Below are 25,486 nucleotides of genomic sequence, written 5' to 3'. Positions count from 1 at the left end.
CAACCAAACATTTTAAATCTAACTAAAAACTTCTAGCTAAGGAGAAAGCAAACCACAACAAAAAGTGGAGAGTAATTACAGCTTTTAATCAACCAAACAAGGTTTGCATAATTTTAATCTACTAAGAAAAACAGCATAGGCACATAGAAGAGCTGATGCTAAGAGAAGTCTGCTTGGACTAGTTCAGATTATTCTCTCTACATTTCTATAGTTTGAAAAAGAAATTGCACCTGAATGGTTTAGCAGTTTTACATCTTCGTGTTTAAATATTTTTGGTTATATATAACTACATATATATATAACCATATATATAACACCACATATATATGGCAGATACAAAATATATATATGGCAGATATAAAATATATTAAATGTGATTATTTCTATGAGGTATGAATAACTGGTTTCTCTTTTTATAATGTCTTTTATTTCCCCAAATCACATTGTAATGATTTGGCATCCAGTAAGAGTAACGAAATAGGTGGTCAGAGTAAATAGAAAACCCCACTGATTAGAAAGAGGAATCAGTGATAATACTTCTTTCATTTACCATTGGTTACTGTTTTTCAAAAATGAGAACATTTAGAGATTTAGCAAAAGCATTACGCATCTCCATCTGCTTTCCATGTCAGGCAAGACAGATACTACTCACTACAAATAATTATTTAAAGGATGGAGGGAGGAGGAGGAAATCCAGAAACAATGTTTATTTGAACATCTTGAAAGACAGCACAATTATGCTGTTTTATAAGACATGTATAACTTATTATTGTAAGAACTTTAAGGTTTTTTTTTTCATTTTTTTTTTTGCTGGTCTGTATATTCTAAATTTTATTTATACCTATGTATTATATTTGTTATAAGAATATATAACAATAAAAAGGATAAAAATCCATTTAAAAGAAATATAAGTTAAATGGGGAATACTATATGAAAGCACAATAGAAAAGATCTCAGGATATACTGATACTAGCTATTGAAGGCATGAAAGATAATGGTTTCTATTTTGATGAGATTAACTGAACAGAAAAGAGTTAGTTATAGGTTTTGCTATAAATTTGATAATGTCTTATTAAATATTCATGATTTCTCTAGAAAATGGAATAATAGTAAGTTCTTCAAAATATTTTAACTTTTTGAGTTCAGGATCTCGGAGGGAGAGTGAGAACAAGAGTGAGGGCGAGAGACAGAGAAAGAAATTTTATCCCTTTGGTCTTCTCAATGATAATTTTACTGTTTTGTTTGTTTGTTTGTTTGTTTTTGAGACAGAGTTTTGCTCTTTTGCCAGGTGGGAGTGAAGTGGCGCGATCTTGGCTCACTGCAACCTCTGTCTCCCAAGTTCAAGCAATTCTCCTGCGTCAGCCTCCCGAGTAGCTGGGATTATAGGCACCAGCCACCAAGCCCGACAATTTTTGTATTTTTAGTAGAGACGGGGTTTCGCCATGTTGGCCAGGCTGGTCTCGAACTCCTGACCTCAGGCGATCCACCCACCTTGGCCTCCCAAAGTGCTAGGATTACAGGGTGAGCCACTGCGCCCAGCCTGGAATTTTAATGCTAGGTTCTCCAACAACAATAATACAAAATGTTAACAAACAATATTAGTGTTATTTACATCTTTTTTTTTAGACCATCTTGCTCTTCTCCAGGCAGTACAGTGGCATAATCATAGCTACCTGTAATCTCAAACTCCTGGGCTCAAGCAATCCTTCTACACCAGCTCCCTAAGCCGGGACTACAAGCACATGCCACCATGCCAGATAACATTTTTATTTTTTGTAGAGACAAGGTCTCACTATGTCGCCTAGGCTGACCTTGAACTTTTGGCCTCAAGTAATCGTCTTGCCTAGGCTCCCAAAATGCTGGGATTACAGGCATGAGCCACTGTTCCCAATGATTTATCTTAATTATTAATAATTGTTATTCCAGCACCTTACAGTTGTACAGCGTTCTGCAGTACACACATATCTATTTTGATCTTCACAACAAATTTTTCAGTCAGGAGTCCCCATTATTTTACAAAGGAATTGAGGCTGTTTAAATTCATAAAACTCATAGCCAGTTTTAAAAATAGATCTTCTGATTCCCAATCCAGCTTTCTTGCCTCTGCATCATTTTGTATAAGTTTCAAAGCTGCCAGCCAGGTGCAGTGGCTCACGCCTGTAATCCCAGCACTTTGGAAGGCCGAGGCAAGTGGATCACCTGAGGTCAGGAGTTTAAGACCAGCCTGACCAACATGGTGAAACCCCGTCTCTACGAAAAATACAAAAAATTAGCTGGGCGTGGTGGCAGACACCTGTAATCCTAGCTACTCAGGAGGCTGAGGCAGGAGAATCACTTGAACCCAACAGGCAGAGGTTGCAGTGGGCCGAGATCATGCCATTGCACTCCAGCCTGAACCACAAAAGCAAAACTCTGTCTCAACAACAACAACAACAAAAGTCACCAACTACAAACAAGTTAAGTTCTCCTGGAAACATCTTGGTCAGTACAGTGTTGTGAGGTACATTTAATAGTAATTTTCCACATATCAAAAATATGAATGATATTACTTGACTATGTTTTACTTAATAGGAATGAGTATACAGCATAGAAGTGATTCATAACTTTAAAAAATTCCCTTGGTTTGACTACTAAACAAAAATACATATTTCTCAAGCTGAAAAACAATAGCATTTTCTTCTGTGTTTCTGAAAATGGTTCTTGACCTTATCCTCTTAGTACTTTTTGGACTTTAAAATTTAATAATGCTATTTAGTATAATGTCAACTTCATCTAGTTATTTTTATATATTTTTAGTAAGATATTCCATGGTTCTTAAGATTCTTATAAAACAGTTCTGAAAGGAAAACATTATTTTGGTAATAGCTTTATTGAAATATAATTCACACCATAAAAATCAACTGTTTAAGTACAATTCAATACTTTTTTAGTATATCCACAAAGTCATGCAGCCATCCCCATAGTAAATTTTAGAACATTTTTATCACCTCCAAAAGAAATCTCATACCGTTATGGTGACCCTCCATCCTCCTATCCCTCCAGCCCAAGGCAACCACTAATCTACTTTCTGTCCCTATAGATTTACCTATTTCAGACATTTTATATAAATATAATTATACCATATGTGGTGTTTTGTAACTGACATCTTTAACTTAGTGTAATGCTTTCAAGGTTCATGCATGTTGTAGTATTGTGTCAACATTTCATTCCTTTTTATTGCTGAATAATAATTCTTGTATGGATATACAACATTTGTTCATCCACTTAGTTGATGGACATTTATGTTGTTTCCAGCATTTGGCTATTATAGATAATGCTGTTATGAACATTCATGTACAGATTTGTGTGTGCACATATATTTTCATTTCTCTTGAGTGTATCTAGGAGTGGAATTGTTGGATCATATGGTAACTCTATATTTATCCTTTTGAGGAACTGCCACACTGTTTTCCAAAGCAGCTGCACCATTTTACATTTCTACCAGAGAGAAAAACACTTTTTTTAAAGAGAGAGAAACGATGAAGCTACATACACTTAATAAAACGTACTTAATGGCACATTATATATAGCTCTCTAGTAACTGAAGTTACACAAATTTAAATTTCCTTTCTTCCTACAGTAGTTTTTTCTACCCCACGAATACCTACGAAATAAAAAAAAAGTAGTCCTAGAATTACTTAAGTAAACTATTTATAATGCTGACTTGCTTTTAACAATACTGAAGTCAATTTCTTGGTGAAGATATACATGAATTTTAATAATAAAAATATAAAATAGGTGGCACTCTGTTAACACTTGATATTTTCATTTCTTGTTGGTTACTGTTAAAGATATGACAGTATTTTCATGGTAGAATATATCACACAAATTTAGCATTTGGAGAAAACTGGAGAACCTAATGATCTCAATGAATGTTCAAAAACTGTTTATAATCTAGGAGTTAGGCTAAGTATCTCAAACTCATCACATTTTACGCCCAGTAATTTAGAAACCGTATATGAGATCCTGCCAGTTCCAGCCAATTAAGTCTAATAAATACATGGGTCACTGATTTGAAATTCTTCCCTTCTTTTTTCCGATGGTAATTTCAGTGTGTGTCTCTCTCTCCTTCCCCAAATCCAGACCAGTATTAATTACGCCAAATGAAATGACTACAAATCAAACATACAGAAATATAATTTGTCAAGGTACTATCTGCAACACAGATCTGCTTTCACCTTATCTCATAAATGAGTCTATACATTCCAGGAGAATGCTCCAAATGAACTTAAAAAATAAGTTTAGTGGACAAAGAACTGCAGGCAAGTTTCTATCCATTTACAGGGACCCAAGGCTAAGACAAGGTTCTGTCCTCAAGGACCATATGAAAGACAGAACATGTTGTGCAAACAGTACATTTATTTTGCAATGAAATTGGGAAGCCAAGTGCTGTCGTGTCATAGTTGTAGATAGTTTCTCCAAAATAGGAACAAGCACATGTGGTGGTTTCATTTCACTTTATTTCATGAAAAATAATTATAACTGGGCAGAATGACGTCTCACTATTTTTTTCCCTTTCTGAATTTTTTGTTGTTCTGGAAAAGCATGTGGTTTTTATGGGACAGAGAATGGAGAGAAAAAAAGATTTTCTAAAAGAAAAACTGATTTATTTTAAAAATATATTTAATGTACTAGAAACTGAAAAAGGAAATATTTTATATCTTTCTCTGGCCATGGAAATAAACTTTTCCTTTGTTTCACTTAGTTGAAATAGTATATTCTCCTCAAGTCATCCAATTCAAACATTTTATATACAAGGACCCCAGTGGTCATTGTTAGCATTCTTCAGTGCCACCTTTCTGCTCTAAGACCTTGGTTTCCTAATTCTTCACGCACTGAACCATAAGTCTCCTTACTTTGAGACTTTGCCATCACTCACATTTTCTCAAGGCTTTAAGAACTATGAAGAATACTATTCAGTCTTAAAAAAGAAGGAAATTCTGTCATTTGTGATGATGTGGATGGAACTGGAGAACAATGCTAAGTGAAATAAGTCAGGCATGGAAGATACCACATGTTCTCCCTTATATATAGAATCTAAAACAACTGAACTCAGAAGCAGAGAACAGAATCATCATTCTACCCTGCGGAGGCTGGGGATGGGGAGATAATGGTCAAAGGATACAAAATCTCAGATGAGAGGAATTTCTGTTTCTAGTTCTATCATCACACAGCATGGTGAATATAGTTTATGATAGAATACTGTACATTTACAACTGGATGAGAAAGTAATTTTCAAATGTTCTTACCACAAAAGATATTAAGTATTTGAGGTGATGGATATGTTAACTACCTGGATTTAAGTATTCTGCATTATATTCAGAAATCATAACACCACTTTTTACCCTACAAATTTATACAATTATAAATTGCCAATTAACAAGTAGTAGTAGTAGCAGTAGATTAGTTGGTCAACTTTTTGATCCTATAAAGGGTGAAGAAACATTTTAAGACTCTCCAGCTACCAAACCCAACGCTGTTCCTCCCAACCATACTTTCTTCTCCAGTGGTATTATTCAAATAAGGGCTGGGAGTTGAAAAGTGACAACCATATGAAGAGCCACATAATCTAAAATATCTCTTCCTGCCATCCTTTCTTGGGTCTTCTTTATAAGAATCCCACAGACACTGTTATTTCCTCATTCCCAACATTAATTACCCTTTTAAGAGAGGGGAAAAATGGACTTAAATTTCTTAAATGCCTACTGTGCCAGACACATTAGTTACATCATTTAACCTAAGAGGAACAACAAAGTTGCAGATGAAGAATGAGAGGCACAGAATAGGTGACTTCTTGGCCACGGTCACATAGTAAAGCACATGCGCATGCACGTGCTCTACAATAAATTCCTCTCTTATTCAAACCCTTGCCCAGTGACCTCAGGAAAACCTCCCCCTGTTATTTCTTTCAGTCCCTTTGTTAATGAAATCAAAACAAAACCAAAGTAAAAATACCTTAAGGGCAGTAGTCGTGATATTTTTCAAACCAAAAGAAAGCTACACACACTGAAGGAAAACTATACCTAAGAACTTCCATACACCTTTCTGACCTTGCAAGTTGATTTTAGAATATTTCTGAAACTATCATTATATCTCCTCTTTCAAATAAATCTGTTTGTCCTCAGGCTCTAACATTCATAATAAATAAAACACTTTTCTAATTTAATGTTACTTTGATTACCAGCATTGCAACAGTACTTTTTCCAACATGTTATTCTTCCCTAGGGTGAGGTCTTTGCAGTGCAGGCTAGCAGCCCAAAGCACCATTTACAACCCTGTTTCTATGAAGAAAAATGCTCTGAAAGTTCCAAAGAGCCAATGCACACAAATACTTGCAGGACACAATGTTTTTAAGTTGGGGACAGTTAATATTTATGAAATGTGTTCAAAACAAAACCATATCTTTCAACAGGAGCCTGCAGGAACAGAGGGCTCCTGCCCTCACTGCCCCTGGCACCCACGCCCCCTCAAAAAAATGTGATTGGAATTCTATAAAAATAATCTGCCACTCAGGCAGTTCCAAAGTAAATTGAGGAAGAGCAAAAACATGGAATCAGAAATATAACAGTAGACTCCAATTTGCATACAAATAACACCGATAGTTTCCTTTAAAACTCTGGTTAATTTCCACCTTAATATATCTCATGTAAAATTGAGAGTGCCCATTGAAGTATTGAAACTTCAAGATTAATATTCACAATGAATCATTTTTTACGTATTACATTTGGATTTTTTAAAAAATAAGAGCAAAGACCTATTGTGACCTAGAAAATCTCCCATTAAAAGATTTTATCAGAAATCTAACTTGTTGGAGAATTTCAGTCATTATTTACTGTACATGTAGATTAAATTCATTTCTTTCACTAGATTAAGTTTTATTTAAAGTAAGAGAACAAAAATCCTCAAAAGGATTCTTCCACAAACTTCTAACTAGTACTGCCTAGAAACTTCCTAAGAAATGTTTTTGCACTTCAATTTTTGAGAACTTATAATTTTATAAAAATATAAATTTATCAGTTTTATAAAAATATTGCCAATTTTTCCTCTGTAAGTCTGCTCATAATTATTACTATATTTCATTTTAGGCATGTTAATGTAAAAATTAAATCTACCTTTTGGTAATTTCTTTTGAAAGTAGAAAAATCTAAGCAACAACATTTATTTGGGGATTTCTTTGTAGTGTTTTGTGGTATCACTGATGATCAGGTTTTTAAAAAATTACTTGATTCAAAGATATAATCTTGAAACACAAAAATTTACAAATTATCAAAGAAATACACAAAAACATTAAGTATTGAAAAAGGAAAATGTAAGAATTAAGTTTGCAAGCAAACCTGCAAAAATTACAAGAGAGTTATACTTCAAAAGGACTGGCTGGCCAAATAAAAAAACATAGCAAGTATTTTTTTAAAAATCCCACAAAATTACTAAGGTTCTTAGGTTTACATTAGACCATCCATAATGAGAAACAGCAATTTCAGCACTATCATTGCATTCATAAAGATGGTGACATTACCTTCAGGTAGATGTGGCTAGGGAGTCTTGACTTAGGGGACAAAGTCAAGGTTTCATTACTTAAAAGACAAGAACCAATCACCTTTATTTTTATCTCAGGGTACAAAGTACTTTTTTCAATGGTAGAATGTCAAGTGCTTTGTAGTACTGAAATCAGAGGAAAGTGTCCGATTTTGCTTCTACAAAATGCACAATTTTACTTGTTGACTATTTTCTACTCCTCCCTTACCATGAGCACACAGGGCTTCATGTGATTATTTTAAAGAGGATGCATAATTCGATTGCTATGCCTCTTCAGATACCTTCTTTGTGAATTTTTCAAATTTGCTCTGGCCCAAATATTGGTGTTCCTATATAGTTCTTATCCCACCTAATGTACACAGACACCCTTTAATATGTACCTATAATCAACCACCCATGTTAACTTCTTGTTTAACATATTATCAAAGCCAGGCTGCAAGTATAACCCTGTCATTTAAGAAATACGGAAAATAAGAAAAAAATCTTAAAATAAGCTTCATGATGAACTTAAAAAGAATAGTTACTTTAAAAGATGTAGAAACAACATAGATAAATTTAAAGTTTTTAGGGGAAAAAATCCTTAAACCCACGTACTAAATTTTTAATATTTCCACTACAGAAGTTAAATGCCCAAACTGATTTGGTATCAAAATTAAAGTGTCAGAAATAGAATTAAGTTATAACTTTTATTTATCACCATTTTAACATATACTTAAAAGTGGAATTTATTGTTTTGCTGGAATACTTAATAACATTAATTTGAAATAAAGCTTCTAAATATTTCCGGGGCTATAATTCCATTCTTACAACATAATTTTTAAAATAATAAATCATTCCAAAAAAGGATGATCATAAAGAGATTAGCGTTTGGGGTAGTTAACCCAGTTCCTATTTATCTATCCATTCAAGAGGTAACTCAGTTTTAAGGATGTTGTTAGAAACATTATTTCACAGTGATTCAAACCTTTCAGCCTATGCACAACCTACAAATGCATAATCGTTTGAAATAAAAATTGCCTTTCCATCATTAAAGAAAAATCATCTTTGTTTTCTTTTTCAGTCCTTCTGAACTTATTACCCTGCTTGGATATGCTGCACTCTTCTGGACATAGAATTTCATAGCAGGTATCAAAATAACCAAGCCATAAAGCCAGCTTTATCAAACAATAATTTCCTATTAACAAGAACTTTGAGTGTATTACTCATTTTACACAAAACAAGTAGACGACAAATAATGATGGTTAAAATTAATAATTAAATGATTAAATGAAAACTAGTAAGGATTTCTGATTACTTTTCTACTTTCTCATACAGCTTAACACCTGGAAACAACTGTACTGGAGCCACCTTCCCGAAAGGTGCCAGCTGTTTCCTTTGTCTTAAGCACAAACAGAACTAATGTCACATTTCCAGAGAAGGGTAAGGATGAAATAAGGCGACTACAAACCAGCTTTCAGAAATGCGAAGTCAGTCAACGTTTTCCTCTCTGATAACCCCTTATTTGTGGAGCAACAGGAGAATTACAACACATTTTGGAAAATAATTTCTATTGGACCAACTCCTCACTTCGCTGGAAGTAGTCGGATCCAAGACTTAATTTCAACACAGTGTTCGACTTATTGCTTGAAGCTACCGCAGCATAAAACTCGTCTTCGAATGGAAAATTTGACCAACTTCTATGAGGTAAATGAATAGTGAAAGTACGGGTGGGCGGGAGAGACATACAAGTTTTTTCGGTTTTTTGTTTTTTGGGGGAAGAAAGGGCGCATACGAAAAAAGTCCTAAGCAAGCACAGAACTGTGTCTCTTAGGATGTAAAAGGATGTTATACCAGAGAGCTCAAAAGCTCCCAGGGTCACGGCTCCCCTAACCGAGGGACTTGGGGTTTCACTGCTACCAGGCACCCGGGGAACCCCGGCCTTGGATAAAAAGAGGGTAACTGGAGTAAAGCCGTGCTTCTGAACGACCCAGCGCCCAGGACCCCCTGCCAGACCCCGCCTTTCCCGGGACCCCCTCGGGAGCGCCCCCGACCGCCCCGCACGGGTCGGAGGAGGAGGCAGAGAGGTCCCGCGCGGACCCAGGCGCCTCCCGGGCCAGTCGAGGATCAACCACCCCGGGGACCCCTGCCGAGGCCAGCGCAGGATAAACTCCCCGACCCCGAACTCTGCCTGCCGCTTCTCGGCGCTGGGCCTCAGCCACGGGTTCGACCGTCCTCCTCACCGCGGCTCCCGCCTACCTCGCGCCTCCCGGCCCCGCGACCTCCCCGCCGCCGGCCGGGCCCCGCCGAGGCTGCGCTTCCCGTAAACTCCCCGCCCCGCGCATCCCCCTCCTCGCCTCGGCCCCGCCCCCGCGGGACCCTGGGCGGCGCGTGATTGGCCCGGCCGCGCCGTCACTCTCCGGCCGCGTCGCCTCCCTCGCTTTCCACCGCCCCAAGACCGGCAGTGAGATTAGTGCTCGCGGGGCCGCGGCGGAGTGTACCGTGCTGCTCTACTCGCTGCCATTCGCCCGCAGGTCGGCGCGCTCGCCCACCTGAGCCGCGCCGGGGCTGCGGGACCGTGGGACAGCGCGCTCAGCCCAGCCTAGGAAAGAGGCAGCAGTCTCAGCGCGGAGATGGGGAGCGGGCGAAGTTGACGAGTCTCCCGCCCACGCTGCGCCCCTCCTGCCCAGAGGTGCGCTGCCCCTCCCCGAGGTGCTCGCGCGCTGCCCTGACCCCTTCCTGCGCGGGACACCCCTCCCCTACCCACGGGACCTGATAACTTCACCCCAAGTCCAGAGAGTGGGCTGCGAGGGCGGTGCCCGGACTGGACAGGACTCTGCTTAAGGGGAGCGGTCCTGGAGGCTCGCCAGGAGTCGGAGGGCGGAGACCCGCTGGAAACTTTATCATCGCCGTAATTACTACGTTTTACTGTTTCTCTCCCCGCAGGGGCTGCAGCCAGCGGTCTGTCGCGCGTGCCTGTGTGCCCGAGGAGCCGCCCCGGGGAGAAGACCCGGCGCGGAGTTGTTCCCCCAGGGAGGATCCGCAGCCCAGCCGAGGGGGTCGGGCGGCCTGGCTACGCAGGACCCAGCCCCGCAGCCGCGGACTCCCAGCGGCGGCGAAGTTTGGCTGCTGAGCGGCGCGGCGCCGGACCACTGGACAGCGGGAGCGATGCCCGTGGGGGGCCTGTTGCCGCTCTTCAGCAGCCCCGCGGGCGGCGTCCTGGGCGGGGGGCTCGGCGGCGGCGGTGGCAGGAAGGGGTCGGGCCCCGCCGCCCTCCGCCTGACGGAGAAGTTCGTGCTGCTGCTGGTATTCAGCGCCTTCATCACGCTCTGCTTCGGGGCGATCTTCTTCCTGCCAGACTCCTCCAAGCTGCTCAGCGGGGTCCTGTTCCACTCCAGCCCCGCCTTGCAGCCGGCCGCCGACCACAAGCCCGGGCCCGGGGCGCGCGCCGAGGACGCGGCCGAGGGGCGAGCCCGGCGCCGCGAGGAGGGGGCACCCGGGGACCCGGAGGCCGCCCTGGAGGACAACTTGGCCAGGATCCGCGAAAACCACGAGCGGGCTCTCAGGGAAGCCAAGGAGACCCTGCAGAAGCTGCCCGAGGAGATCCAAAGAGACATCCTACTGGAGAAGAAGAAGGTGGCCCAGGACCAGCTGCGTGACAAGGCGCCGTTCAGAGGCCTGCCCCCGGTGGACTTCGTGCCCCCAATCGGGGTGGAGAGCCGGGAGCCCGCCGACGCCGCCATCCGCGAGAAAAGGGCAAAGATCAAAGAGGTGAGTGGGCCGCGCCAGAAATCCCTCCCGACCGGCCGTGTTTTTCAGGGAGAAACGGCAAGCCTTTGAAACTCTGAAGACTGCAACAATGCAATGTATGGGGAGATGGAGGTTTGCCCCTTCCACCAGGTGCTGTGTCAAAAGCTCTTTCTTTTCCTGTTTCCAATATAGTAGTAGATGTGTCCAGTAAGATCTAAGGTCAAATCTCGTTGCTTTTAATTTGCATGCTCTTGCTCTGGTGACCACAAGCCACACGAGGTGGGTATAAATACATGGGCAGGTAATACGCAAACCTCATTCTCTGGCCGCTACACGGTTAATCGCCCCACCAGTAACAGCGACGGCACTGATCAGCCCCCTGGTAAGGATTGGGGACGTGGCTTTAAAGTGAGTCTTCACGCGTGGTAAAGCTAGCCAGCATACCCCGGGTTCAGCTGTGTGGCCCTTGTCTGCCAGGTGGCATTCTGTGTGTACTTTCAGACTATAAAGGTGAAACCTGAGAACTTCCCATCATCGAGGGATACTATTGTTTACTTTTTTAAAAAATGAAAATATAAAAAGCCAGTCGGCTGCCTCTTGTATTTCTAATGCACAGCCAGAAATAGGGTATTCCATGTGATGCAACAGGTTTGCCTCCACAGCAGCACAATGGTGACAAAGTTAATCCAGGATAAACATGGACTTTGATACATCTTTCCTAATTTCCTTCTCGTAATTTTCAGTTAGAACTTGAAACATGTGATTAGGTCAGGACCAGCTTAAAGCTGAAGGGGGCCGTAAAAAGTCCTTTCAGGCTGTCATTTTCAAGATGAAGATCGAAGGGCCCAGAGCTCTAGAACCCGTTAGTGATGAGTCAGGACTTGAAGCCCGAGGTCCGAACTTCCCCCAGTCACCTGTCACCACGCGGTCTGTGGACATGCCTCCTCTCTGAGCTACTTCCCTGTGTGAAACGGTGCCAGCCTGCGTTTTACATAGAAAAGCTGTAGGAACCACATTAAAAGCATGTCATTCCAAATCTTGGTTCAATTTTCTAAAATATGAATGGAAGTAATATTTTTGCCATTTAAAAAATAATACGATCTGTGAAAATAAATATTGTATTTTCATATTGGGTAGGTAATCAGGAGAGGAAGTCCCTGATCCCATTTTCAGAGAGTAAACAGATTTTTGAGGTGGTTGAGAGGTGTTTAGCTTAAGTGGCTGCAGAATGAAGGCAGCAGGATTGTCATGGGATTTGTGACTTTGTATTATAAGATCAGCTGAATTTGGTTAAGCTGTAATTGAGCAAGTTAAAGTGGACTTGGATCCCTTTCGGTTTAGGAAGAATGTCTTCATCCTTCCTATGCAGATAGCTTCCTTCCACAGTCCATCAGCATATCTGCTTTTCTGAGACCCCTCCTCAGGGACAGAACCCTCCCATACTTGGGGGAATGGATTCTACTTTCCAGAACAACTGTCTAGCAGTTTCCTTTCTCCATGAAATCCTGCCTGTGCTACCAAATCAGGAAGGTGGAACAAAGCTCTACCTCTTACCAAATCCTCCCAGACTCCTTAATAATATCCAACCAAAACCATAGGAAATTAACCCAAATGATCTGTATCTGCCTGTGTTTCTGTTAAATTTGAACGGTGTAATTCATACATTTCATGCCTCCAAAGTCATACGAGCTGCCAGTTAGCTAGTACAAAAATCACAGTTGTCCGAGGAAAAGATTTTAATACGAAAGATACATAGATGTTAAGCTGTTGGTACTGACCAAGAGTGATTACAAGTGCATTCAGAGCAGAACCAGTGGGGCAGTAGCAGTCTCAGACTCAGGACAACATATTAACAGTGTGCATATCCATCCAGTAGATCCATGTTGTCTGTATGCCTAAATCACAAGGTCTTAATTAACCGTGTAAACGAGATTTACGTAGTCTCTGTCTAACATCTTAGCACCTAGATGTTTTGAAACCGCTCAGTCTTGCATAAAGCAGTGGAACTAAATGTGTTCTTTAAAATTCCTTGTTGCTGTGAGAACCCAAAAGAGCCAGCATAATTAGCTTTAGTGTTTAGTCAAAGGCTAATGGGAAGAAATGGATTATGATTTTCCATCAGATTAGTTCAGGCAGATATATTCCTTTGTAAACCAAAAGAAAAAAAAAAGAAATTATGATGCTGTTCTAAAAACTGTGCTGTAAATATTTGGCTTTAGAGAGGCAAGAGTGGTTGCCCATTGTAAATAGGGCACTGGACTTTAACTTTACGTATTTGGATTCAGTTTCAGGCACCACTGTGGACATTTTGTTATCAACCAGTAGATCTTTGCCTTAGTTTTTTTCTTTACCATTGTGTTTTCTTTTCTTTCTTTTTGGAGACAGAGTCTGGCTCTGTTGCCCAGGCTGGAGTGCAGTGGGGTGATCTCAGCTCACTCCAACCTCTGCCTCCTGGGTTCAAGCAATTCTCCTGCCTCAGCCTCCCAAGTAGCTGGGATTACAGGCACGTGCCACCACACCCAGCTAATTTTTGTATTTTTAGTAGAGACGGGGTTTCACCATGTTGGCCAGGCTGGTCACGAACTTGACCTCAAGTGATCGACCTGCCTGGCCTCTCAAAGTGCTGGGATTACAGGTATGAGCCACCATGCCTGACCTGTTCCTGTATTTTCTAATTCTCTTTATACTTAGGTTCTCTATCACACCTGAATGCACCAACACTTATAGTTAAAATTTAGAAAGTGCACTCAAGTCTAACATGTTGGAAGACTGGATTGTAATTTGAGTCAACCTGTTATTTTGTACTTGGTTCAAAGTCAGTCAATACTATTTTTTATATCTATGGCACATTTATGTTACTAGTACTGCAGTAGATTTTTAACAACTTCGTGTCTTAGGGGAGATACTCTGTTAATTTCAAATAGGTCATTGTACAGAATGCTTCACAAAAAATGTTAAATGCTTTCCACTACTGATTTGATGGATGATGAATCTTTGATGTAAAACTTCAAAATAGAATTAAGATCTTCCTCCCTTCACCTCTGTTAAAATTTTGTAAATTAACCCTGGGATTTCTCTGAGATTTATGATACATACATAGTGTATATTTATTTTCATGAGTTTGATCTTAAAATTGTACTCAGGTTGTCCTTAGCTTTAAAAAGCAGTGTTAGAATAATGAAGCACAAAAGTTAAAATAGCAGCATGGAAGTTTTAGAAAAATAGTCCATTTACTTTTTTTTTTAATCAGAAATCATTTTTAGCTTCCCTTCTCCCCCGCTCCGCCCCCCCCTCAACCTCTCCCATTTTCTCAATTAGCCTGTGCTGTCCTTTAGGATTAGAACCTTAATCCAATTTGGAGGATGACTTTTTTTTTCGTTTTTCTGAAATTAAGGGGAGACCTGAGTAATAGGGGCTGGGGCTAAAGACAGTCAGGTTGTCAGAGGGGACTCCTTTCTTCTCAGGCTGGAATCCTCACCAACCTAAGTGGGGGTTAGGGGTATGTGCAGACTGGCAGCCTTAGATTTGTCATGTAAGGCTTTAGGACCCTGCACCTGTGGGGTCACAGTTTTCTTCTCTCAGTTCTAAAACAAGACTTTAGTATTTTATTCCAGACCTATTTGTGTAATCATGAATTTAAAGAACATTTTCATATTGATGGCTAGTAGTTAAAATTCACATTTATTATACTTTATGCTAGCCTTAGGCATATAGCCTATAATTTATATTAACTATTGACAGTTTATACCCTTTTGGTAAAGATCAGATGTGAGAATAATCTGCCTTGGCAGGTTAAAACAAAACACTTTTATTTTGACACTTAACTTTCCAGTTTATTTTTATGGGTAGTTCTGGGGTGGAAAATAATATTTACAAAATAATAAAAGCCATGATTTGGAGACCTGACCCAAGAAGCTTCAACATCCTTAGGTTGCTTGCCTGTGCCACTGTGCCGTGACACATTCCCTACTGAACATAGGCTAGTGTGGGATTGCTCCACCCAGAGGCCCTTCCCCAGAGCAGGGAGGACATGGAGTGTTTGTGAAGGTTTTTCTCTCCTTAACAAGTAGGTTAGTTTTCAACAGTTTAAGTACTGGAGTAGGTGCTGACTGTTAATATACAAAAGCAAAAAAATACATATATACAGTAATGGGTAGTTAATTATGTTCAGCTTCATTTTCTGTAAGCTGTTGATAGTTTCTCCTAGAATATTCTGTCTTCCTCTTATCAAGGCAACTGGGATTCATATAAAGGAGCTTCTTATGTATATGGGACTTAGAAACTAGTTAAAAGTGTGAAAAGAGGTTTTAAAAAATATTTTCAAACAAATGCATCTATCTGTACTTCTTAGGTGAGCTAATGAACTAAACCATCTTGAAAAATTTATCTTAGTATTACACAAAATGCATTTGTATGAGATCTGAATTGGTTGGAATTCATTGAAGAACTTACATATTTGAATCAGATTATTTCATAAGCTGTGGTGGTACAAATTTTTCATTGAAGAGAATTTTAAGCATGTGTCCGAAGGTCAGAGGGGAGGAATGCCTGCAGATCCGTGTGAGGGATGAGGGCTGAATACACAGGGTAGATCAGAATTGCACTGGAACCTGGTTATACCTCCTAACCCAGTCAAGCACCTGTGGTCTTTTAAATTTCTTTCTTTATAATCTTGTGTATGTTGGTCAAAGAAGGGTTTGATTAGTCAAAATAGGAACAGCCACTGTGGGCTCCAGAGATACTGTGAAACGAGTGGCAAAACAACCTCCCCGCCAAGTAGACGAAAATAATAAACAAGATACCTGTTTGGTAGTTTAGGGAAGAGATTCCCTCTTTGAGGAAATAAGTCTTGACTTTTCCCTCAGTATTCTTAGCCTAGTTCCTTGCTTGGTGTTCAGTGATTGAACTATATCTTATCCCCACCCCCAACCTCTCAATCTGTTAAAAGGCCCTTTACACAAACTCTGCAAATTATGCCATGATAACTTTAAATCTCAGATTTTAAAACTAAGTGTATGCTCCGAGTCGTAAGGTATTGCATCTGAATGAGATCTGAGAGGTAGCTCATTCATTTTACAGTAGAGGCAACCAAGACACAAAGATCATTCTGGAAATCACATCACCAGCTAGTGGCAGAGTTGAGTTGCAGAGGGAAGCCCCAGTCTTCTGTGAGTGTTGCGCATTGTCTCCCACATGGTTTGTCTCCTAAATAAAACCCCAAAGAATTGTATAAATTATCCGTGCTTACTATTTGCAGACCCTAATAGAGAGTACAGAAAACATACAATTCTGCATTATTATAAATTTGACCTTATACTAAGTTGGTGGTTTTTCTTTTTTTTTTTTTCAGCCAACGATGGATCAAAGTAGTTTTTAAGTCAATTATAGTAATTTTTAAAAATCTTACCAGTGGCATGGTTTAGAAATCTTCTTCTTTGTAAAGACACCCGGGGAAAGCTTGATAGGACATCTTGTTTTCTTTATAAAGATCTCTCCAAGAAGCACAGGCATTTGTAATCATTCAGTTAAACATTCTTTATGAGGAAAAGTGGGGAAGAAGAAGGAAGGGAGAGAAGAAGAGAGTGAGTTACTGTATATACAAAGGGTGAAAGGGGATCACCCAGAGAAGGGACATGTGATGACTAGAAGGGCTGCTTTAAAATTATAAATGTGTGTGCTCTTCTGATATTGCACCATGGATAATAGAAGAATGACAGCTAACCTAAAGGATGATTGTTTTAAAAGTAGACATGTAAAAATCACACCAATCTATGGGCAATTCTCTCCACCCAAGTAGGTTCTGGCGATTCTCTTTTGGGATGCACTTACCTGTCTCTGATCCATCCATTTGAAGCAATGTAGTGGTTAGAAGGGTGGATCTGGACTCAGATAACGTGGGTCTGAATCTGGCCTCTACCATTCTCTTGCTTTGTGACCGTCTGCAAATTACTTAATCTCTCAGAACTTTAGTTTCCTCATTTGTAAAATGAGGTTAATAGTACCCACTTTGTTGGATCCTGAGGCTTAAATGTGATAGTAAAGCACTTAGAATGGTATCAGACATGAAGTGGGCACACAACAAATGCTGCTTGTGATTATTGCTGTTACTGGTCACCACCTAAAGCCATCAAGCCAAGATTGCATTGATCCATATGCTGTTTAATAACTCAGGAAAGTGGATAATGAAGTTTCAAAAGGGTATCAAAAATAGTTAAAATTGAGTTTTAGTGCTTAAAGGGATACATTTCCAGTTCATCAAAAAGATCTTCCATACCTATAATTTTATTTTGCTACGGTCAACTCTGATTTTCTTTGATTTTTACCAAATTCCAAAAAAACTTAAGTATCTTTAGAATGATATACTTACTGCATATACATCTTCAGCTTCTTCAGAATATATGTTAAAGAATTAATTTGTCTCTTTCTCATAGTCAAATATGCCTATTCCCGCAGATACCATCTTTCAGAGTAGTCACAGTCGAGTTATCTTAATTTCTCTTTTTTCTAATAAATAATTTTTTTATTTACACAATGCAGATCGGGTCTCACTATATTTCCCGGGCTGGTTTCAAAGTCCTGAGCTGAAGCAGTCCTCCCACCTCGGCACCCCAAAGTGTTGGGATTACAGGTGTGAGCCACCATGCCTTGGCTGAGTTATCTATCTTAAGTATTGAAGTTATTCTTCTAAATAGAGAGAGAGATCGAGTAAAGTGAATTTCAATCTGTTTCATCTTGGAGGAATGTTTTTAAGAAGTGAGAATTATTATTTTAGGCTTGGCAAAAATTATATAATTATGATAAATTCTATAATCAGAGCTCAGTCCATCACTTAGTAGTCAAAGTTAGCATAAATCAGTTTTATTTTGTAGCTCAGAGAGTTTGGTCTTTTTGAGACCTTCACATTGAATTTAGATTTATTAGGATTCCAGACCCACTACTCATTTTACACATGAGAAATAAGGCCTGTGAGCTGTGACTTCCTGAGATTCCCCCAGTGTACAAACAATAGCTGAGAATTGCTTCTTAGGTGTTGAGAAGTACTGAGAACCAGGCCCCACTCCACCTGGGATAATCTTGACTCTAATGAGAACGTGTGCTTTGGTGACTGGCTGACCAGGCCCTCCCTCCTCCTCAGCCCTAAATGGCAGGCCAACTGCCAGAAGCCCCACTGAGACCATCCTAGAGGGAGGTGGGACGTCTTTGCTGGGTAGGGGATTGCCTAAGAAAGCAATACTGGCTAATTCCTTTGCTCCGGAGAATGTGGCAGCAGTGCCCCGCCCCCACTGAGTTTTGATAAAGACTTCTGTGATCATTAGGTACTTGAAAAAAAACCAAATGAGATTAAGGCTTAAGAGCATTTAAAAGTCACAGCCCTCATTTCTGTCATGAATACTCTGGTAGTTGCTTTAGGTACTTTAGAGCTGAGCAGTCCTGCAGATAATCCAGAACAGAGATAATAAAATTGAAAAGTACACGTATCCTTCCTGTTTACTTGACTTTTGTGACTAGAATGACTCCTTCTCGCTCGTGTTTCTCAGTCTGCTCATCTCCCTGGCTCTTAAGTTTATCAAAAGCCCAGTTCCTGATTTGCTCTGCTGCTTTCTCATCACTCTTGCTCTACATCGTTCATTCAAGTGACACTCAGAACATATTATATTAACTTTTCATTTGCATTGTTCATGTTTTTATGTGGGTCACTAATTAGATCGTCCTGTCTTGTGTGGGAGTGTTTAGTATTAGCAACTTAGTATGAGAGAGGGCATGGAGATGAGGGGATAAAAACCTGATGAAGGACACCAAGTTCTGAAAGGGTGGTTTAATAACACAGCATTGCTACCCTCTGAAACAACCTTTGTTGCTGGTGCCTGTTTGTCTGTGCTAGGAGTTTATGAGAAAGGGGGTGGCAGTAATTGGTGTCCGAAGGCCTGTGAATGACTATGGCCAAGACGTGAACTCAAGCCATCCATAGACTACAAGCTATTGCTAGTGTCTCCATTTCTGCCAAATCCTTCCTCATTAAATGGTCTTCTCAAGGTCCCTTCAGAACACTCAATTCTTCTAAGTGACAGGATGATCTCAGAAATAGGACAGGAGGCCAGGGATCCTAGCCTACACTGGGGGTGGCATGTCCAGCTTCCTGAGCTGATGTTTAGGTCATGATTGTCTGTCCCTAGTTCCTCTTTCACGGGAATACATGCTGGAGCTATGTACTAAAAGGGGAGTGTGTTTCCTCACTGTATCTCTCTCTGTCGGGGCATAAGACAAGAGAACAGACCTGTGGAATGATTAGGGAAGCTCAGGGGTATCTACCCAGTCTCAAAATCTCATTCCCAGCTGCCAGAAATTCACCACCAGTGTTTCCTTTTTACTGTTTTTGTTTTGTTTTTGTTTTTGAGATGGAGTCTTGCTCTGTTGCCAAGGCTGGAGTGCAGTGGTGCAATCTTGTCTTGCTGCAACCTCCGCCTCCTAGGTTCAGGCGATTCTCCTGCCTCAGCCTCCTGAGTAGCTGGGATTACAGACACCTGCCACCATGCTTGGCTAATTTTTGTATTTTTGGTAGAGGCAAGGTTTCCCCACATTGGCCAGGCTAGTCTCAAATTCCTGATCTCAAGTGATCCACCCACCTTGGCCTCCCAAAGTGCTGGGATTATAGGCATGAGCCACCATGCGTGTCCATTTATTGATTCTTAAAGGCTTGCTTTAGAAATAGATGGATAAAGTTGCTCAGCAGAATTATTAATATTATACTTTGAGATTTGTCTTATCAAAGGATAGAATAGGTTTGTTGAAGCAAGTATCTTCCATTGTCTTATTTCGCTTTATAAACTCATGTCTGCTTGGGAAAGAAAAATTTGAAAGCACACTAGAGTAGAAAAAAAAAAACAAATCCTTCATAGTTTTATCAGTCACTAAGTAGTGTCAATGATGCTCCTCCCTAACCCCAATATGTAAGTTCGTTCCCACCCCCCGACGCCGGGTTATAACCACACTATATATACTTTTTGTTTTTCATTTTCTTTGCAAGTGTCATTTTATGTTGGCACAGTATATCCATGTCAAAACATGATACTTTATTTAACCAGTCCCTTGGACCTGAACATTTAGATTATTTCCACTTTTTTGTTTTTATTAAAAATGCTGAGACAGACAGCTTTGTCCAGTAAATTTGTGTCTCACTTTTTATTGCACACACCCTGGTAAGTGGGATTTTCTCTTAAATTCTTAAGAGGGGAAATAAATTGGCCAACAGATAGTACATTTTGAGGGATAACTTTCCAGAAACCATTTATACTCCCATGTGTCATATAATGAATGGAGTCTGTTGATTCTTTGTGAATTTCATAAGTGATGAAGCAGTATATGGCATTTTCAGTTTGCTTTTCTTTGATCAACACTTTCTCCTGTGTTGATCATTTGCATTTCTTCCTTGTGAGTTGTATAGATAGAACAAGGAAATTTTGAAAGGAGGAAGATAGAGAAGATGGCAGAGCTTGGAGGCCTAAGGAGTGAAATCCACCAGGGGAGATGGATCTGGCAAGCCGGCTCAATGAACGTGGACTCCTGTGGGAGGCAAAGTCCTGAAGGCGAGAGTTAGGATTTTATAAAGCAAAGTTGCAAGAAAAAAAATTTTTCCCCTAGATTGCACACTTAGAATAAAATATCCTTTATTGATAGGAGCTCTTACCAGGCACTTGGGACAGCCCACATCCTTCAGCTGAGACCTAGCCAGCTTTACCAGCGCATCTTCATTTTTAAGTGACAGTTGGGATTTTGCCTCAGATACTTGAGGAAGGTATTGACCTCTCTGGAGATCTGCGGAAGGATCTTTCTCCTTTTGGAATGAATCAGGATGCTTTTCTAATAGTTGAAGATCAAAAGTAGTCCAAATAGAATTTCAGAAGTGATTTTAATGATGCCAGAAAATGGCAAGTCTTACACAGCTGAATTCTTAAAGAAGAAAAATTAACCAAAAGGAAATCATGAGATTTCCTAGAAATATTTGTTCTTATGTGTGAAGAGGCAGGCTAATCTTTTGTATGTGAGAGGCCTTCAGTGTTGTAAATAGGATAAATATGCATTTTGTCAAAGATATTTTATTTTTAAAGAAAAGCATGATATTTTGTGTGTGAAGTTTGGGCTTTTTTTTTTCCACCCTAAATCCTTCAAATGTTTTTAGTCATGTTTTTTAAGATAGTGAAGAGCTGCATATTTCAAAATGTATTTATATTCTGACCTTGGTTCATAAAAGTCTGCCAAGCGCCAGAACTATTTAAATTTGGCTATAACACTGTGTTAACGTGATGAATAACGATTGACATAAATGTACTATATTATTTTTATAAATTGTGGTTAGACATGATAGTAATTTTAGAATATTTACAGTGCTATTTTTGGAGACTTTTTTTTTTTTTTTAGTCAACTAGCAGTGTTGAATGTTTTATCTAGCCAACTACAGGTTTTCAGCTCATAATTAGAAATGCCTGAGAAGTCCATATTGTGATTTAAGGAGTTATTAGCCCAAGTCAGCAATTTTATAAGGCATTCTTATTAGGAAGTATAAAATGAACTTTATGTAGTAAAAAACGTATTTTATAATTGGCATATATCTAATGCATTGTATACATTCACTCATATTAAGCATTTTGGTTAGTCTTCATTATTTAATCCTCCTGTGGTTACTTAACATAGAATGTGTAATGAAGAACTCAGTAGCTTTAAAGGTGGGGTGGTTGAGGAGAATAGAAAATGAAGGTGATTTATTAACTACTGTTGAAAGCTGCTTTAGCAGTTAGGGTGAATAAAAATGATGATTTATTAAGTATTCCATCAGTAATAAGATAAAGCCACAGTGTAGGGTTGGAAGTACTTCTGTTTTCCCTAACTCCCAAGAATACAGAATTTCTATGACATTGGCTCTTTGCAGTCGTCCGTCCCTTCCAGAACTATCATATTGAGGGCAGGAGAAAGAGCTTCCCCTATTCATCCATGTGTCCAACAGATCAGTTAGCTCTGGGCCCTGCCCATAATAGGGCCCAGTATGTATTTGTTGAATGAATATGCTCTTTGAAATAAACATGCCTACAGGAGTTACTCAGGTTAAGTGTGATTTCGCGCTAAGTAATCTGGTATTCCAGAAGTGGTGTCCGCTCATCTTTGAAGTCCTTTCTAATGTATATACTCATGGGCTACAAGTCTTTGTCTTTTTGATTTTTTTTTTTTACAACAGTCAGAAGTCATTTAGAATCAGACCTAGTGAATAAAGAGACTAATGAATATAGGAAATGCCTTTTCCAGTTTTCAAGTTGTTTTCCAGAATGATTTATAAAATGAAAACTGCATTCATTTTCTTATATGACTGTAAACTGGTGAAAGTGGTGCCAAAAACAAAAAAAAGTCTTTTGACCAAATACAACACTGCTGAAATAAATGTAGATGATTGTGAGATTCCTTTAAAGGTCAACACTCGAATATAAAGATTCTGTTATTTTATTGAAAAGTGTTTATATCTACAGCCAGTATTTTTTTTTTAGATATGTTATTTTTAAAGTAGGTAGAGTCTTCATTTATTTTCTTTATTACCTAGAATACTGGACAGTATTTAATAAGGGTTGCCATTTTTCTTGTATTTCAATTTTATACAGGATATACCTAGAGTTGGTTTTGTTTTGTTTCCATTTTGGCAAAATTTTTTGAGAGATAAAGGTGTCTTAATGAGTAATGCTTACAGTACCACACTAAAATGAAAAGTCATAGGTTAGCTATTATTTTCCACTAGAGAAATCAGAATTACATAAACATGTTCCTCCCTAAGAAGGTGTGATATTTTGAGAAAGAGAAAGAAGCTTGGTTTTCTATTTCCCAATTTCATATTGTTTCTCCTGAAAAGTGCTGTGTCATATAAATAATTGCATGGTAGAGGCTCAATGAATTTTATGCATTTGTCAGTGGTCCCTTTTGCAGTTTATTCTACAGATGACTATTAATATTCCTAAAACATCACTTCTCTCGTATTGCCCAACTCAGGTTTTAATGGTCCTCCATTTCCTATAAAGTAATGATTCAGACTTCAACATGCATCAGAATCACCTGGAGGGCATGTTAAAACAGATTGCTGGTGCCGGGCGCAGTGGCTCACACCTGTAATCCCAGCACTTTGGGAGGCCGAAGGGAGGATCACTTGAGGCCAGGAATTCAAGACCAGCCTGGCCAACGTGGTAAAACCCTGTCTCTACGAAAAATACAAAAACTAGCCAGGTGTGGTGGCGTGAGCCTGTAGTCCCAGCTACTCGGGAGGCTGAGGCAGAAGAATCACTTGAACCCAGGAGGCGGAGGTTGCAGTGAACCGAGATTGTGCCACTGCACTCCAGCCTGGGTGACAGAGTGAGACTCTGTCTCAAAAAAAATAATAATAAAAAAATTTTGAAAGCCTGGAGTTTCTGATTCAGTAGGCCTGGGTGGGCCCCAGAATTTGCATTTTTAGCATGTTGCTAGGTGATACTGATGCTTCTGGTCCAGTGACTTCAGCTAGAAAAACATTTTGCTCTAGAATGAAGTCACAGTGAAGTCACAAATGTTTAGCTTGGCATCCGTAGTCTTCTGTAAATCTGCATCAGTTTATTTGTTGAGTTGTATCTCTGTTACTTCCCAGGAAGGACTGTGCTTCCACAAAACTTACATAGTTACTATCTCCAGAACACATGTCGTTTAGGATTTCACCTTGTTTACTTTATGGTTCTCAAAAGGAGAGTCTTCTCACTTGCTCAAAATCCATGTCCTCATGAAGCCCTCTCTACACTCTCAACCTTCACTGATTTCTCCCTTCTCCAAATTCCCATGTTATTGATTATTTCTATCTTTGGCCTGTGTGTCACTGATTTTGTGTGCATATATGTTATCTTTCAAGTAGATTTCAGACACCCTAGAAGTGGGGACACCTTTTTTATCTCATAGGTCCGTGGCCCAGAATTTGACAATAAAAGGCAATTCATCCTAAATGTAACCCAGATTAAGTATATCAACAAAATGTTTTATAAATGTGAGGCAGTATGGCAGAGTAGAAACACTTCTGTCCTCCCTTTCCACGCCTTTGAAATGGAGTTAATAATTCCTCTTTTTCAGAGTTGTTGTAAGAATTAAAATAGAAAATGTATGTGAATCTCTCAGCGCAATGCCTGGCATGTATCATTCATTATTCAATACATAGTATGTACTTACTAGCAGCTAGGAATTGGTAGGAGTGATAAGGAAAGGGGTTGGTAGGTAAATTGGATTCAGAAAGTCATTTCCAGGAAAGAAAAGTATGTTTTGGCTGCAGTATTGCTGTATTGACCAATAGCTTCTATTTTCTATTGTTGCCTCCCCTTTTAGTTGTTGTTGCCAAATTTCTCACTTCCTATGGCAGGAAAGTAAGCATTATTTTGCCTTGTTAGAATTGTTATTACACAGAAGGGATGCTCATCCTCAGGAAAACCATAGAGAGGGTGTTGAATGGAGTGGTTCCTCATTCATTCATCAGTGTCCAGTTACTTCTGACTTCTGGGCCTGCTGTCACACAACACTCAGATATGTGGGGAGGAAAGAAAGCCAGGGATAAAGAAATCTGGAGAAATACCTTCAGGGCATAGAAAGAAATAATTTTTGTGAGCTGAAAAGCTGAAAATGTTTCATTCAGAGATAACTACATGTGTAAATTTAGCTCAATAATTAGGCATATGGTGCTTTCATTTTAGGATGTATCCACCCTTTGTGATAATATCCGTTGATTATTAGAGCTGCTGCAGCTTTAACTACATTGGCAGCAGAGATTCCTAGTGCATTTAAGACAAGAATTCAAGAGTGAAATGGAAAACTGAATTAATAATTTGTTCTTGGGTGGTTTTAATCTGCTCCTTAAATGTAGTTTATGCCTGGAGGATTAGATTTGGAAACAGAACACCAACTAATGTTCTAAAAGTTTACTTCCTTTTATTGGAACATTATACTCTTAAAGATTTTCAGAAGAACATTTTGGCTGTTTTAGTCTTAACATACGAGGTACACTTAAGTTCTTATGATTCAACCTAAAACAATAGAAAGCTTTTAATCTATGATATAATTTTTAACTTTTAAAGTATTTCATGTTAGACTTCAAGGCAGGAATTGTTTAATAAAAACCAACTAATAAAAGGAAAGATATTCTTTGTTG

General features: G+C 39.5%; 1 protein-coding gene across 4 annotated transcripts in view, besides 4 other annotated features; it reads left to right on the top strand.

Annotated features, from left to right (window-relative positions):
• Positions 1 to 9,179: 9,179 nt before the first annotated feature.
• The window catches only part of MAN1A1 (mannosidase alpha class 1A member 1), a 173,401-nt gene continuing 157,094 nt past the window's right edge, over positions 9,180 to 25,486 (top strand). For 2 of the 4 annotated variants that reach the window (XM_005266986.5, XM_047418775.1), the window contains exons 1-2: positions 9,180 to 9,258; positions 10,498 to 11,322. In XM_005266986.5, coding sequence (XP_005267043.1) covers positions 9,232 to 9,258; positions 10,498 to 11,322 — 852 coding nt within the window. In that variant the 5' untranslated portion in view covers positions 9,180 to 9,231. The other 2 variants (NM_005907.4, XM_011535833.3) reach the window with 2 other exon arrangements.
• Positions 9,464 to 10,103: a silencer, noted in NCBI's record as "silent region_17512". NCBI's record gives its function as "represses an Ori minimal core promoter by ATAC-STARR-seq in GM12878 lymphoblastoid cells {active_cell/tissue: GM12878}" and the evidence as "EXISTENCE:reporter gene assay evidence [ECO:0000049][PMID:35858748]".
• Positions 10,614 to 10,813: a silencer, noted in NCBI's record as "silent region_17511". NCBI's record gives its function as "represses an Ori minimal core promoter by ATAC-STARR-seq in GM12878 lymphoblastoid cells {active_cell/tissue: GM12878}" and the evidence as "EXISTENCE:reporter gene assay evidence [ECO:0000049][PMID:35858748]".
• Positions 10,874 to 10,993: a silencer, noted in NCBI's record as "silent region_17510". NCBI's record gives its function as "represses an Ori minimal core promoter by ATAC-STARR-seq in GM12878 lymphoblastoid cells {active_cell/tissue: GM12878}" and the evidence as "EXISTENCE:reporter gene assay evidence [ECO:0000049][PMID:35858748]".
• Positions 11,204 to 11,553: an enhancer, noted in NCBI's record as "active region_25017". NCBI's record gives its function as "activates an Ori minimal core promoter by ATAC-STARR-seq in GM12878 lymphoblastoid cells {active_cell/tissue: GM12878}" and the evidence as "EXISTENCE:reporter gene assay evidence [ECO:0000049][PMID:35858748]".

This window comes from Homo sapiens, chromosome 6 (genome assembly GCF_000001405.40).
Source record: "Homo sapiens chromosome 6, GRCh38.p14 Primary Assembly".
NCBI classification, from domain to species: domain Eukaryota; kingdom Metazoa; phylum Chordata; class Mammalia; order Primates; family Hominidae; genus Homo; species Homo sapiens.
This window is presented reverse-complemented; position numbering and strand designations above follow the sequence as displayed.